The sequence below is a fragment of the Homo sapiens genome, chromosome 13 (genome assembly GCF_000001405.40).
Source record: "Homo sapiens chromosome 13, GRCh38.p14 Primary Assembly".
Taxonomy (NCBI): Eukaryota; Metazoa; Chordata; class Mammalia; order Primates; family Hominidae; genus Homo; species Homo sapiens.
This window is the reverse complement of record NC_000013.11, coordinates 28,806,989-28,822,174: the sequence shown is the minus strand read 5'-3', so window position 1 is coordinate 28,822,174 and position 15,186 is coordinate 28,806,989. Positions and strand designations below refer to the sequence as shown.

Genomic DNA, 15,186 nt, shown 5'->3' with positions numbered 1-15,186 from the left:
TGACTCAGAGGCCAGGTTTCTTTCTGACCTTAAAAACAATAAAAACTTTTTGCACTTAATTTACTAGTTTATAGTAAAAGTTTTTAATTTGATATGGAAAATAATCTTTCCTATGACTTACTTTACCGTGTAAACATAAATGAATATCCTGCCACTACTACTCAACTTTCATTGGTACTTCTGCAAATGAAATATATCACTTAAGATTCCCGTAAGTATTCTACATGGAATTATGGGTCCCTAATAAACATCAACTACTCTTCGCAGGAAAATCAAGAAAGAGCATTTAGACAAAACACAAAAGTCTACATGCTGTAATTCTCTGATGTGTCCCCTTTCCAATACCATTTTTTTCTTCCCATGTTTCTAACAACGTATTTTTGACTTACCTTAAACCACTGTAGCAACACCATAGGCTACAGAAAGTGACAATACAATGCTCCACAATGGGTCTCACCCCTGGCTACACGTTAGAATCACCAGGAAAGCTTTTTAACATTACAGGTATCAAGGTATCAGCCCAGACCAATTAGAACAGAATACTGGGTGGAGGAGGGACAAGGGCTGTTCCCAGCCATCAGTATATCTGATGTTTTCTACTTTTGTATTTTTACCTGAAAAAAATAGCCATAAATGTGAGTACTGGTTTTGGGGCCTGGGGAAAGGGAAGGGAAAGAGAGACACATCTTTAATAACTGGCAACTCACAATTACTAAGTTTCCATCAGAGATAAAAATAAAATCATTCAATAGTTTGAAAACTAGAAAGTATACATGTAGGATCTTTTTATCAATAAGTAGTCAAAGAATTCTCACCAATTCCTAATAGACTTTACAAAACCAATTTTTTAATGCTTTACAATTATACCTAATGACTTTTTTAATATAGGGTCCTATATTATCTTAAAAGGGTACCTCAAGCTAAGACCACTGCTTATCTCCAAGTAAACTAAAAGCATGACACTCTCTTCTTAGGTGCTCTGGTAATCACACATAACTTTACCAATGAGCAAATTTTTTTAAGCATTTATATAACAGAGAGTACAGGCGCCTTTGGTATCCTGCCAAGAGTACTTCTTTCCGTGTTTGTATTTAAAATAGAATGGTAGTAACATCACTTGTGTGCCTGTAATTCCTTCTGTGCACAGGCACAGAATGAAAAAAAAAAATGGATGTAGCAAGCCGCTTCACTGCTTTACCATTATAAAGCTTGAAGGAAATAACACACTCATACTAAATTAAGACGAAGACTCAGACCAAATTATCCAAAGCTGGGGGTGGGTAGGGGAGAACTCGCCTTAACTAACCTACCAACGCCTCTAAAGCAGTGGGTGTTGAACCTGGCAGCAAGCGAAGGTGCCAAAAGAGCTGCAGTCCCTAAGCCAGAGCAGGTGATGTGGGCAGGAAGCATCAGCGCTCTGGAGACGAGAAGCCGAACCAGCCCGGCGCTGCCCCGAGCCCGGCTGCGCGCTCCCCAACTCCGCTCACCTGTCTCCGGCGGGTCCAGAGGGCGGCAGCAGAGCCAGCCGACCCCACCGGACCGCGCAGCAGAGGATTCGCTCACCTGGGTCAAAAAGAGCCAAGAAAGATGTAATGTCCAAGAGGCCACCACTGCCCTCACGGAGACGCTCATCTCGGGCCGGGTTCCGCCACGCTGCTTCCTCCTCCTCTCCAGCTCGAGTTTTCTATTTACCGACAGGTCTGTACTCCGCTAAGCGGTCAAGGGTTTCCGCAGAAGGGGGGAGATAAACTTGCCCTGAGAGCCGGCGGCGGCGGCGCAGGTGGAGCGCGAGGGGCGCCCCCGCACCTGGAGCCGCCGGCGCTCGCTATCACCTCTGCCCGCCCACGCCCGCGCCGCGGCTGCGCTCCGCTCCGCGCCCCCGCACTCACCTCGGCGCAGGCACCGCCCAGGCCGCCGCCCCCGCTCGAGGGCCGGGGCGCAGCCGGGGACCGGAGCCGCCCGCACGACGCCCAGGCGCTCCCGGCTCCGCCGCGGCCGCGGCTGCTCCTCCAGCCGCCTCGCCTGGACAAAGAGAAGCCGCGGGGCCGGCGGCCGCCCAGCCCAACCTTCGCAGCGCGCCACGCAGCCGGCGCGCCTCGCCCGCGAGGTGCCGTCCGCGGTGACAGTGGCCGGGCGGCGAGCGGGCCCGAGCGGTAGGCGGCGCGGGGCAGCTGATGCGCGCACCCCCTCCCGGCCGCCCGGAGACGCACTCGCCGAGACCCAGGCGCCTCCTCCCGGCCCGCGCTCCGCGCCCCGCGCCCCGCGTCGCAGCTCCGCAGCCGGGAGCCGTAGCGCCCTCTGCCGACGGCCCCTGCGCCCGCTCCTGCGCGCGCGCCTGCCCGCCCCAGCCCCAGCCCCAGCCCCAGCCCCAGCCCCAGCCCCAGCCCCCGCCCCCGCCCCAGCTCCCGCCTCAGCCCCAGCCCCAGCTCCAGCCCCAGACCCAGACCCAGACCCAGCCTCCGCAGGCGGTGGGCGCGGCGCGGGCCGCTGCCCGCTGCGCGGCTGGTCACCGTGGTGCCCTAGCATCGGACCCCAGGAGAAAGGAGTAAGAATGAGTTGGCCGTTCCAGGGCAGGCCTCCAGGAATGGGTTCCGCTGTTTTCCGCTCAGAACAGAAGAGGGAGCCGCTTCGAATTAGGCGCAGCAGGAGGCATTGGGGTTCAGCATCGGGAAGAACTTTGGAGGACGCTAGGGTGCCTGATTCATAGGAGCCCAAAGCCAGTCTCTGAAAAGATTTGCGCAAAAGGCAGGCGTTTCTTTCTAGAAGCAAGCTTATTTCTATGTTTAATGAGCACCAAATGTGCCTCCCCACTGTCCGAGGGGTTCCAGCGAGCCTTGACTGCTCTTATGGTAAGGTAAATAGATTAATTAATGATTTCTCAAAGACCTTTTTCCAGTCCTACCTGAAATGCTCAGACTCCCTCACGCGGTGCACCTGGAGGTTTGAAAAGGCAAGCGAAACCAGAGGACTTCTGCAGACTGATTCAAACAGCAATGGAATAAACATTTACCATTATAAAGATGAAACGATGTTGCTGGTCTTTGCACTATTTAGGTTGGCGTTTTTTGTTTTTAGGGGATGTCTTTCCAAACCACTGTGTTAACCAATACTTTATGACAGTTAATTTTTTTTTTTAACCAACTGGACTACTTGGTGAAGGGAAATCATGAAATGGCACTTTTTTTTTTCAGACCACTGTCTTTAAAAATTATTCCAGAAGCTCTCCCTTCTCCCCTGGAAGAATCTGGGGCAAATTTCATAGCTTTTCCTGTCACTTTCAGGTGTTCATAAACAGTCAGATTTGCTGATAATAAAAAGTCCAGCCCAATCCAAATCAAAACTTTAATCGCAATCCATTCAAGCCTTCCCCACTAGCCTCCCACCACCCACCAGACCCCAACCTGACCCAAGCTCAGAAGCCTGCAAGGAGGAGGAAAACGACCTTCGCTTCCTGCTTCTGTGTTCTCCCCAGCTAGCTCTGTGAAGACGGGTTCCACCGCCGGGCACGGAGGCTCACGCTTGTAATCCCAGCACTTTGGGAGGCTGAGGCCGGTGGATTACTTGAGGTCAGGAGTTCGAGACCAGCCTGGCCAACATGGTGAAACCCTGTCTCTACTAAAAATACAAAAATTAGCTGGGTGTGGTGGCGTGCACCTGCAATTCCATCTCCTCAGGAGAATTGCTTGAACCTGGGAGGTGGAAGTTGCAATGAGCCGAGATCATGCCACTGCACTCCAACTGGGCGACAGAGCAAGCCTCTGTCAAAAAAAGAAGCCGGATGCGGTGGCTCACGCCTATAATCTCAGCACTTTGGGAGGCCGAGGTGGATGAATCACGAGGTCAAGAGATCGAGACCATCCTGGCCAACGTGGTGAAACCCCGTCTCTATGAAAAATACAAAAAGTTTAGCTGGACATGGTGCCACATGCCTCTAGGCTCCTCTACTCGGAGGCTGAGGCAGGAGAATCGCTTGAACCCGGGAGGTGGAGGTTGCAGTTCACGGAGATCGCTCCACTGCACTCCAGCCTGGCGACAGAGCGAGATCCGTTTCAAAAAAAAAAAAAACACTGGTTTCTCAAGTTGGGCAGGGTGGGGTTCTGACCCTGCAACTTCAGCCTCAGCTTCACTGGTGGTCAGCCTCATTCAGGCCCTCTGCAAGGCACCATGCCCTGGCAGTCAGTCCCAGCTACCTTCCACCACGTGCGTGCTGACCCACGGACACCAACTGGCATTTGGCCCATCACGCTATAGAAGTGCAGGCCACTGTCACTGCAGTTCTCTTTTCTTCTTCTCTGGTCACAGGTAACTCTGACCGGCCTCTTTCCTTGAAGCTTCTCAGCCATCTCTGGGTTCATGCATGTCCCCACACTCCAGGTGACACATGCCAGGCTCTCCAAGTAGTTCTTTGGAAGCATGCCTTTCTTTGCATGAAGTGGGTGGGTCCTCCTTCTCCCTGTCAGCACCGTGTCGTTCTCATCTTCTCCCTTGATTGCTCTCTCCTTTCCTTCAATTTGGTCTGAAGGTGGCAGAACCCCAACTTAGCAAATCCTACAAAGATGGTCCAATACCTCCATTTATATGGATTTATGTGTGGGGATACCTATCTGTGTGGTGGCATGGAGGGAGGTGATCCCCTGAGATCTTGGAAGCTTGAGCAACTGACAGCCTTCAGCTGTCACACATTTGGATCCACCACAGAGCTCATACCAAGGTCACACATTCCCCAGCTGTTTCCAGCTCACAACGGAACATGGTGAGAGCGCTAGAGCTATGCCCTTTCTGCCTCTAGTGGGCAGTCTTTGCTCTGGAATTCCTACCACCCTACCAGGGCTTTCTCAGAATGTGCTGCAGTCTGGAGCTCTTCCTACCCAATCTTCTTCCCTTCCCTCTCTCCATTCACAAGTGTCAGACCTGTATTGCAGTCAGAAGGCACTCCTCACCTGCATGCCAGGCTCCTTCTCCCTCCTGCACTATCCTGCACAGGTGTTTTCTTTAAAATATTTTGGCACATCTAATCCTATCTTGACATCTGCTTTTCAGAGGTCCCAAACTGTCATAGTTATCTATTGGCCCACCTGGCAGCATTCCAAGATAAGTCTTATTTTAACAGTTGGTTATGCTGTATTTAGAAACTGTGAAAAGAACAATGGCAAAATCATGGAGCCAACCTGAATGTCAATGAACAGTTGACTGGATAAAGAAGATGTGGTCCATATATTAATGCATCATGGAATATTATGCAGCCATCAAAAAGAATGAAATCATGTCTCTTGCAGTGACATGGGCTGGAGCTGGAGGCCATTATCCTAAGTGAAGTAATTCAGAAACAGAAAACCAAGTACCACACATTCTCACTTATAAGTGGGAGCTAAACAATGAGTACACATGGACATAAAGATGGAAATAATAGACACTGGGTCACCAAAAGAGGGGAGGGTGGGCAGGGGGCGAGAGCTGAAAAATTACCTATGGGGTACAGTGTTCACTGTTTGGGTAATGGGTACACTAGAAGCCCAATCTCCAGTATGCTCATGTAACAAACAGGCACATGTACCCCCTGAATCTAAAATAAAATTAATTTTTTTTGAGATGGTGTTTCACTCTGTCACCCAGGCTGGAGTGCAGTGGCACAATCTCAGCTCGCCACAACCTCCACCTCCAGGTTCAAGTTATTATCCTGCCTCCGCCTCCCGAGTAGCTGGGATTACAGGTGCATGCCACCATATCCAGGCTAATTTTTGTATTTTTAGTTAAGATGGGTTTTCACCATGTTGGCAAGGCTGTTCTCGAACTCCTGACCCCAAGTGATCCGCCCGCCTCAGCCTCCCAAAGTACTGGGATTACAGGCATGAACCACCGCGCCCAGCCAAATTAAATTAAAAAAAAAAAAAGCTGTGAAAGGAAGAGTAGAATGTTCTCTTGAATTAAATATATATATATATATATATATATATATATATATATATATGATCAGCAAGTATCATAGTGTATCAAGTATCGTAGTGTAGATTCCTTCCCAAAGCAGAGACTGGTAGAATGACTTGGATACAGATAGTTAATTGTTATTGTTTTTTGTTTGTTTGTTTGTTTTTTGAGGCAGAGTCTTGCTCTGTTGCCCAGACTGAAGTGCAGTGGTGCAATATCGGCTCACTGCAAACTCCACCTCCCGGCTTCAAGTTATTCTCCTTCCTCAGCCTCCTGAGTAGCTGGGATTATAGGCGCCCGCCGCCGTGCCCGGCTAATATTTGTATTTTTAGTAGAGATGGGGTTTCACCACGTTGGCCAGAATGGTCTCGAACTCCTCACCTCGTGATCCACACACCTCAGCCTCTCAATCCTGCTGGGATTACGGGTGTGAGCCACCACGCCCAGCTAGATAGTTTATTTTTGAAGGTGATCTCAGGAAGCAGGAATGATGAAATTGAGATGTTAAGACAGAGAAGTATGAAAGGCAACTTAAAAGTATATTCTCAAGGCCACTGTTATATGTAACAGGCACACAAGGACATAATACCACTTGGATCTCTGAGGAGCTTACAATGGTCATTTCAAAGACACAGGGCCGAGCATTTACCCTCTGGGCTCCTGTTCTCCATTGATTGGAATTGCCTGTGGAGCTTTAACTCCCAAAGGCGCCTAGTGCTTTAGAAAAGGCTCTAGGCAGAGAATCAGAGTGACCCATAGCCGCATCCTTGAGATAAGACATTGTCAACTCACAGGGAGCACCCATCAGAACTATGGCTGAGAGGGAGCCAAGGAGATGTGCAGGGCAGCACAGGTGTCTGCTGGAGCCTTTTCCCAGGGCCTTACTAGACTGAGGAGCATGTGGGTAGAACAGAGGCATCTGCCTTGTGAAATTCCAAAATGATGAAATGCCAGTGGGAAAAGCCTGAGGAAGAAAGAATAGAGTGGCGTTTGCAAGTCATGAATAACACTTGGGTAGCCAACTGATGTACCAGAGAGCAAGGTAGGTATTAGGGGTCAGGGCCTCTGGGAAGGGATGGGAGCCAGGATTGGACAGAGGGAGAGTTTGAACCATGATTCAAGTCCAACAAAGCCGCTGTCCTAACCACAAGAAGTCCTGGAGCACATACAGAGTGGTGTGCTGAGCCTGCTCCTACCAGCTCCTGAGCATCACTTGTTAAATTTTTGTGAATTGGTTGTTAAAACAGCCATTATTAAAGATTAAATTATATAAACCTACAATTACATTTATTTATTGAAAACAAAGTGAATACTCAAAACTCATCCTTCCCTAATTACTACATGAGCAGTAAAGTACACTGTTGAGGTTTTTTTGTTTTTCTTTTTTTAATTGAGACCGGGTCTTGCTATATTGCTCAGTCTGCTCCCGAACTCCTGATCTCAAGCGATCCTCCCACCTGTGCCTCCCAAAGTACTGGGATTACAGGTGTAAGCCACCTCCCCCTGGCCAGTGTTGAGTTTATTTACCACTGGCATAGCTGTATGATGGAAATACTATGTAGTAGTGTACTATTTTGCATCTATTCCCAACTTCACATTTAGTGATACTACTTTGGTAGCTTGAAACCATCTATGGAGGATGTATTTTCACCACAGAAATTAGCAAACACTGCAAATCAGGATGTTTTCCTTAAAGGAGCCCGTTATTAAACATTTACATGCACACTGCTACATGTAGGACTCATTCAGAATTGTCCCAGGGTGGGCTGAATGGTTAAGGTCTCTATGTCCCTACCAGATCCACCATTGGCTATGGACTTTCCAGGGAAGGTGTATTCTTGGGCGAGGGGGCTCTCTGCAGGTGAGGCAAACACAAGGAGTAGACGGCCCAAGACAATCTGCTCACAGCATTGCCAAGAGCTGAGGCGAGTCCTTCCTTTAAGGGACAGTTCTGTATCCTTCACAACTAGCATGGAGTTGTTTATATATATATATCGTCATTGCAGTGCTCTCTTCATAGTATTTTCTTACTCGTTTTAAATACCTGCTACTTCTATAGTTACAGCCATTTTTTTCTAATATTGTTTAGATGTGACTTTTTTCTTAATATTTGTTTTCTTAATTCATTAAGCCTGAAGTTTGTCTCCTTTTTGTCTTTTTAAAGAACCAGCTTTTGACTTTGTTGACCCTACTGTATTTTCTTTACAAGTTTACTAATTTCTGTTCTGATTATTATTTTTTCCTTTATTCTATGTTCTTTGGGCTTATTCTATTCTTTTTCTCACTTCCAAATTGAAAACTTAGCTCATGATTCTTCAATCTTTTTTTGCACATATATATTTCCTGTCTTTTTTTGCACATATATATTTCCCACACATTTTTAGCTACAGTACTTTCAATATCATTAAATTATAAAGTTCTTAATTTCCGTTGTGATTTCTTCTTTGACCCATGAATTATTTTAGAAGTGTGTTAATTTCTAAATGCATGAGGCTTTTTTAGATATCTTTTTGCTATTTTTAATTTAATTTAATTGTGGCCAGAAAACATGGTCTTTTTGATACAAATTCTTTGAAATAGATATACACTTGCTTTGCGGCCTACTCAAAAATACTGCACATTCTTGAGAAGAATGTGTATCTTCTAATTTAGGTGTAGGGCTCTACATTGGACTTTTTAGATTGAGCTTTTTAATTTTTTTCATCCAAGTAGTCTATCTTTTCTGAGTTTGTCTTCATGAGCTATCAATTACTGAGAGTATTACAATCCCCCACTGTGATGCTGAATTTGTTAATTTCTCTTTGCAATCCTGTGAGCTGCTGCTTTGTATATGTATTGAAGCTACGTTACTAGAGGCAAATAAGTTTTGAAATGCTATATATTCTTGGTAAAATATATTTTATAATTATGAAGTGACTCTTTCCTTAAAACTGTTTACCTTAAAATATATTTTCTTCTCCTGTAAGCATTTCTACAGAAGCTTCCTTTTGGTAAATAAGAGGCATATATCTTTTTCCATCATTTTACCTTTCTGTGCTTTCTTAGGTATGTTCCTTGTAAGCTTGCAATATCTGGTTATTTTTATTCAGTCTGACGACATTTATCTTTTAACCTGTGGATCTGCCCCATTTAAAACATTTCAACGACTTATATAATAGAACCTATTTCTGCCATACAATTTTGTGCTTTCTATTGGTCCTGCTTTTCAATGCATCTTTTCTTCTTTTCTACCTTCCTTGGATTGACTAAGGGAAACTTTCCATTGTTTTTTATTCTCTGTTTTAAAAATTATACACTATATTTTTTTCTCCCAGTAGTTATATTTAAACTTGTAACATGTAGTAACTGGAAATTCTAATGTTTTTTCTTTTTTGAGACGGAGTTTCGCTCTTGTTGCCCAGGGCTAGAGTGCAATGGTGCGATCTCGGCTCACCACAACCTCCACCTCACAGGTTCAAGCAATTCTCCTGCCTCAGCCTCCTGAGTAGCTGGGATTACAGGCATGCACCACCACACCTGGCTAATTTTGTATTTTTAGTAGACGGGGTTTCTCCATGTTGGTCAGGTCTCAAACTCCCGACCTCGGGTGATCCACCTGCCTCGGTCTCCCAAAGTGCTGGGATTACAAGGCGTGAGCCACTGAGCCCAGCCAAATTCTAATTTTTTTACGTCTTGTGTCTCCCCCCACAAAAAAAAAACAACTTTTGAGCACTTATACACCAATGATTCTCCACCTGTTCTACATTATATCAGGAAATATTTTAGTGGGGTTCTTTTACCTTGAGAATTAGGCTATTTTATAGTGAGTGTTACTATTTTATAGTGAGTGTTTTCTCATCATTCCTTCTTAAATCGTAGATCTTCATTCTGGGATCAGTTTCCTTCTTTTTGGAAGTGCATCATCAAAAATTCCTTTGTGAATGTTTATTGGTTAGAAATACTCTCCAGTTTGTATTTCTAAAAATGTCTTTATTTCATTTTCATTTTTGCGTGATAGTTTTCCACTTTTACAATTCTAAGTTAACAATTACTTTTCTTTCAGCTTTTAGAAAATGTTTTCCCATTGTCTTCAGACTTCAGGTGATGCTGCTAGGAAGTCAGCTACCAATCCAATTATGCCATTGGAAGTGATCTATCTCTTCTATGTTTGCTTATAAGATTTTCCCATTGTCTTGGTTATTTCAAAGTTTGCCTCTTTGTGTCTATGTGTGGATTTATTTTTCTTTCTTTTGCTCATGGTTTATTGTGCTTCCTACATCTAAGAATTCTTGTCTTTTATCAATTTTGGAAAACTCTCTAATACTATCTTCTAATATTGATTTTCCCCATTGTATGTTTTTGCAATTCCAATTAAATGCACGTTGTACTTTCTTATTCTATTCCATGTCCCTTAATCAATTTTTCTTATTTTCCTTTTTTTCTCTCTGTTCCCTTCTGTCTCCCACTGTCTTAGTCTCTCATTCTCTCTTTCCCTCTACATTCTGGATAACTTCTTCACATCTTTATTCCATTTCACTAATTGTTTTTTCTTGAGACAGAATCTCCCTCTGTCACCCAGGCTGGAGTGCAGTGACTCCATCTCGGCTGACTGCAACCTCTGCCTCCCAAGTTCAACCAATCCTCCCACTTCAGCCTCCCAAGTAGGTGGGATTACAGGCCTGCACCAGCACACCCAGCTAATTTTTGGATTTTTAGTAGAGAAGGGATTTCGCCATGTTGGTCAGGTTGGTATCGAACTCCTGACCTCAAGTGATCTACCCACCTCAGCCTCCCAAAGTCCTTGGATTACAGGTGTGAGCCACTGCGCCCAGCCCATTTCACTAATTTTTAAATCTGTAATGCCTAATCATCAGTTTACCCCATTTTAAACTTGTCTTGACATTCGTTTTAGTTCTTTTTCATTTCTTATAGTTTCTTTTTTCATTTCAGTCAGTTCTTTTTCAAATATGCCTGTCCATTTTATAATCTCTTTTTTTCTCATATTTTGAAACTGGTGTTTAATTTTAGTGAACATGTTGGGATTTTTTTTTTTTAATTTTTACATTTGATTAGTCTAATACCTGAAGCCCTCAAGGGTCTAATAATATTATTTGCTTTTTGTTTTTTGTTTGTTTGTTTTTGTTTTTGTTTGAGACGGAGTGTCGCTCTATCACCCAGGCTGGAGTGCAGTGGCACTATCTTGGCTCACTGCAAGCTCCGCCTCCCAGGTTCACGCCATTCTCCTGCCTCAGCCTCCCGGGTAGCTGGGACTACAGGTGCCTGCCACCATGCCCAGAGAATTTTTTTTGTATTTTGTTTAGTAGAGATGGGGTTTCACCATGTTAGCCAGGATGGTCTCGATCTCCTGACCTCGTGATCCGCCCGCCTCAGCCTCCCTAAGTACTGGGATTACAGGCGTGCGCCACCGTATCCGGCCTGCCTTTTGTTTTAATCAGCTCAGGCTGATATAATAAAATATCATAAACTCAATGGCTTATAAACAACAGAAACATATGTCTCACAGCTCTGGAAGCTATAAACCTAAGATCAGGGTGCCAGCATGGTCAGGTTCTGGTGAGGGTTCTCTTCAGCTTTGCAGGTGGCTAAAGCCTTTTCTTATATCCTCAAATGGTGAAAAAATAGTGATCTAGTTTTCATGTCTCTTCCTATAAGGGCACAAATCCCATTTATGAAAGGTACACTTTCATGACCTTATTACCTCCCAAAGGCCTTATTTCCAAATGCCGTCACCTTGGATGTTATATGTCAACATACAAATTTTGGAAGAGCACATTAAATGTACATGTTAGTCTGTTCTCACACTGCTATAAAGAAATACCAGAGACTGGGTATTTTATGAGAAAAGAGGTTTAACTGGCTCATAGTTCTGCAGGCTGTATAGGAAATGCGGTGGCTTCTGCTTCTGGGGAGGCCTCAGGAAGCTTCCAATCATGGTGGAAAGCAAAGGGGAGCAGGCATCTCACATGGTAGGAGCAGAAGAAAGAGAGGTATGGGGGGAGGTGCTACATGCTTTTAAACAACCAGATCTTGTGAGAACTCACCCACTATCATGAGAACAACACCAAGAGGATGGTGCTGAGCCATACATGGAAAAATCCACCCCCATGATCCAACCACCTCCCACCAGGCCCCACCTCCAACACTGGGGATTACAATTTCACTTGAGATTTGGATGGGGACACAGATCCAAAGCCAGTCTCCCCAAATCTCATGTCTTTCTCACATTGCAAAATACAATCATCCCTTCTCAACTGTCCTTCAAAGTCTTAACTCATTCCAGCATTAACTCAAAAGTCCAACGTCTCATTTGAGACAAGACAAGTCCCTTCCACCTATGAGCCTGTGAAGTCAAAAACAAATTAGTTACTTCCAAGATGCAATAAGGGTACAAGGGTTGAGTAAATATTCCCATTCCAAAAAGGAGAACTCTGACAAAAGAAAGGGGCTATAGGCCCCATGCAAATCTGAAACCCAGCAGGACAGTCACTAAATCTTAAAGCTCCAAAATAATCTCCTTGACTCCATGTTTCACACCCAGTGCACACTGGTATGAGAGGTGGGCTCCCAGGGCCTTGGGCAGCTCTGCCCTTGTGTCTTTGCAGGGTTCAACCCCCATGGCTGCTCTCATGGGCTGGCGTTGAGCACCTGTGGCTTTTCCAGGTGCGGGGTGGAAGCACTTGATGGATCAACTATTCTAGGGTCTAGTGGATGGTGGTCCTCTTCTCACAGCTCCACTAGGCAATGTCCCAGTGGGGACTCTCTGTGGGGCTCCTACCCCACATTTCCCCTTCCCACTGCCCTAATAGAGGTTCTCCATGAGGGCTCCACCCCTGCATTAGGCTTCTCTCTGGACATCCACGCTTTTCCATACATTCTCTTAAATCTAGGCAGAAGCTCCAAACTTCCACTCTTGCATTCCGTGCACCCACAGACTTAACACCACATGGAAGTCACCAAGGCTCATGGCTTGCACCCTCTGAAGCAATGGCCCAAGCTTCACTTGGGCCCCTCTGAGCCACAACTGGAGTTAGAGCTAGAGTGCCTGGGATATGGGGAGCAGTGTCCTGAGACTGCACACAGTAGCAGGCTGCACAGGGTAGCACGTCCCTGGGCCTGGCACACTAAACCATTCTCTTGTCCCAGGCCTTTGGGCCTGTGATGGGAGAGGCTGCCACAAGGTCTCTGAAATGTGAGGTCTCAAAAGTCCTCTTTGAGGCCTTTTCCCCTTTGTCTTGGCTATTGGCACTTGCCTTTTTAGTCTCGCAAATTTCTCTAGCAAATGCTTGCTCCACAGACTGCTTGGATTCATCCCCTGAAAATGGGCTTTTCTTTTCTCTATATGGTCAGTCTGCAAACTTTCCAAACTTTTATGCTCTGCTTCCCCTTTAAATATAAGTTCCAACCTTAGATCATTTATTTGCTCATGCATATGAGCATAGGCTGTTAGAAGCAGCCAGGACAAATATTGAATACTTTACTGCTTAGAAATTTCTTCCACCAGAAGGCTAAATCATCACTCTCCAGGTCGAGGTTTTACAGATCCCTATGGCAGGGGCACAATGCAGCCAAGTTCACAGCTAAGACAACAAAACTGACCTTTGCTCTGGTTCCCAATAAGTTCCTCGTTTTTATGTGACACCTCCTCATCCTGGCCTTCTCTGTCCATATTTCTATCAGCATTTTGATCACTGCCATTTAGCCAGTCTCTAGGAAGTTCCAAACCTTCCCTCATCTTCCTGTTTTCTTCTGAGCCCTCCAAACTCTTCCAACCTCTGCCTGTTACCCAATTCCAAAGTCACTTCCACATGTTCCAGTGTCTTTATAGTAATGCCCTACTCCTTGGTTCCAATTTTCTGTGTTAGTCCATTCTTGCATTACTATAAAGGAATACCTGAGACTGGGTAATTTATGAGAAAAGAGGTTTCATTGGCTCATGGTTCTGCAGGCTGTACAGGAACCATAGCAGCTTCTGCTTCTGGGGAAGCTTCAAGAAGCAGGGCAGAAGGCAAAGGGGGAGAAAAGCATCTCACATGGCCAGAGCAATAGCAAGAAAGAGAGCGGGGACGTGCTACACAGTTTTAAATAACCAGATCTTGTGAGAACTCACTCACTATCATGAGAGCAGCACCAAAGGAATGGTGCTAAACCATTCATGAAGGATCCACCCCCATGATCCAATCACCTCCCACCCAGCCCCACTTCCAACATTGGGGATTCAACGTGAGATTTGATGGGACACAGATCTACACCATATCAATTTGTAACACTTTTTCTGCTGACTCTCACACTGTGGGATATTTCCTAATATATTTGCAATTGTTTATTTAGAGATCTTTTTTTTTTCCTGGACTCATTTTACTGATGGGTTGGTCTTTTTATAATCCACACTTTTACTGATGATGCAGCCCTTAAAGGCTTTATGCAGAGATTTTAGCTCCGACATCTCCGGTTGTAGAAACCAAAGATCTAATCTTCTACCCACAAAACATCAAAACCCTAGTTTATAGGTCATCTATTTATTGAGTACTGTACCCACTTACTTACCACTCTGGCCTCATCTTTCTCTTTTTCTTTTAGTGCCTGGCTTACTTTCTTGTGAATTTAGCTATGCATTTAAATGTGTCATTATGGCCTGAGTTCTCCTAAATGCAGACCATGAGACAAAATCTTATGTGCAGGTAATTTATTTGGGAAATGATCCCAGGGAACAGCAAAAAGACATGAGTGAAGGGGGGAAAAACAATATTAAAATTCATTATCAAGTTAGCCACTGCTCCAGATGACTTATGCTTGATCTTGCTGGGCTCTTATAAAATGCATCACAGATACATCTCCTTGCGTCGCTCATATCTCTTGTGCTTCCTACTAAACTCAATTCGTAAAATAGTTCCATTCTCAGTGGCAGCCAGCAGTAATCTCTAAAAAGCCTTAATACCAGTGGGTTAGAGGACCAAGCTACAGCCTCTTCTGTTGTGCCTGGTGCCTAGAAGGTAACTGATAATGAACATTTTCCTCCTCTATTTTCCATTCCAGATTTTCTTTACCTCTGCCAAGACTTTGGCCAGGCTAGTTTACTTGTCAGGTGGGGCTTGGCCCCTTAGTGGCCTTGTCTCTGTTTAGCCATGACCTCTTCAATTGCCCATTCATTGCTGTTGCTGGTCATGGAAGCACTCCCCTGCATTCTGGCATACTCCTGCCCACCTTGCGCAGCAACAATTGTAGCTCCTCACGATAACCAGGATCAACATCTCCTGCCAGAAT

The 15,186-nt window shown here is 45.2% G+C and overlaps 1 protein-coding gene across 9 annotated transcripts in view, besides 3 other annotated features; it reads right to left on the bottom strand.

The window, feature by feature from the left end:
* The window catches only part of MTUS2 (microtubule associated scaffold protein 2), a 685,985-nt gene extending 683,773 nt beyond the window's left edge, over positions 1 to 2,212 (bottom strand). For 7 of the 9 annotated variants that reach the window (XM_011535019.4, NM_001033602.4, NM_001366650.1 and 4 more), the window contains exon 1: positions 1,564 to 1,836. The gene's annotated coding sequence lies outside the window, so the exon portion shown is untranslated. Of the gene's footprint in view, positions 1 to 1,563; positions 1,837 to 1,889 lie in introns of those variants that run through there. The other 2 variants (XM_047430227.1, NM_001384605.1) reach the window with 1 other exon arrangement.
* Positions 1,462 to 1,962: an enhancer, noted in NCBI's record as "H3K4me1 hESC enhancer chr13:29394350-29394850 (GRCh37/hg19 assembly coordinates)". NCBI's record gives its function as "activates a minimal SCP1, AML or CMV promoter by ChIP-STARR-seq in primed H9 embryonic stem cells {active_cell/tissue: H9 hESC(primed)}" and the evidence as "EXISTENCE:reporter gene assay evidence [ECO:0000049][PMID:30033119]".
* Positions 1,862 to 1,931: a silencer, noted in NCBI's record as "silent region_5220". NCBI's record gives its function as "represses an Ori minimal core promoter by ATAC-STARR-seq in GM12878 lymphoblastoid cells {active_cell/tissue: GM12878}" and the evidence as "EXISTENCE:reporter gene assay evidence [ECO:0000049][PMID:35858748]".
* Positions 2,022 to 2,371: a silencer, noted in NCBI's record as "silent region_5219". NCBI's record gives its function as "represses an Ori minimal core promoter by ATAC-STARR-seq in GM12878 lymphoblastoid cells {active_cell/tissue: GM12878}" and the evidence as "EXISTENCE:reporter gene assay evidence [ECO:0000049][PMID:35858748]".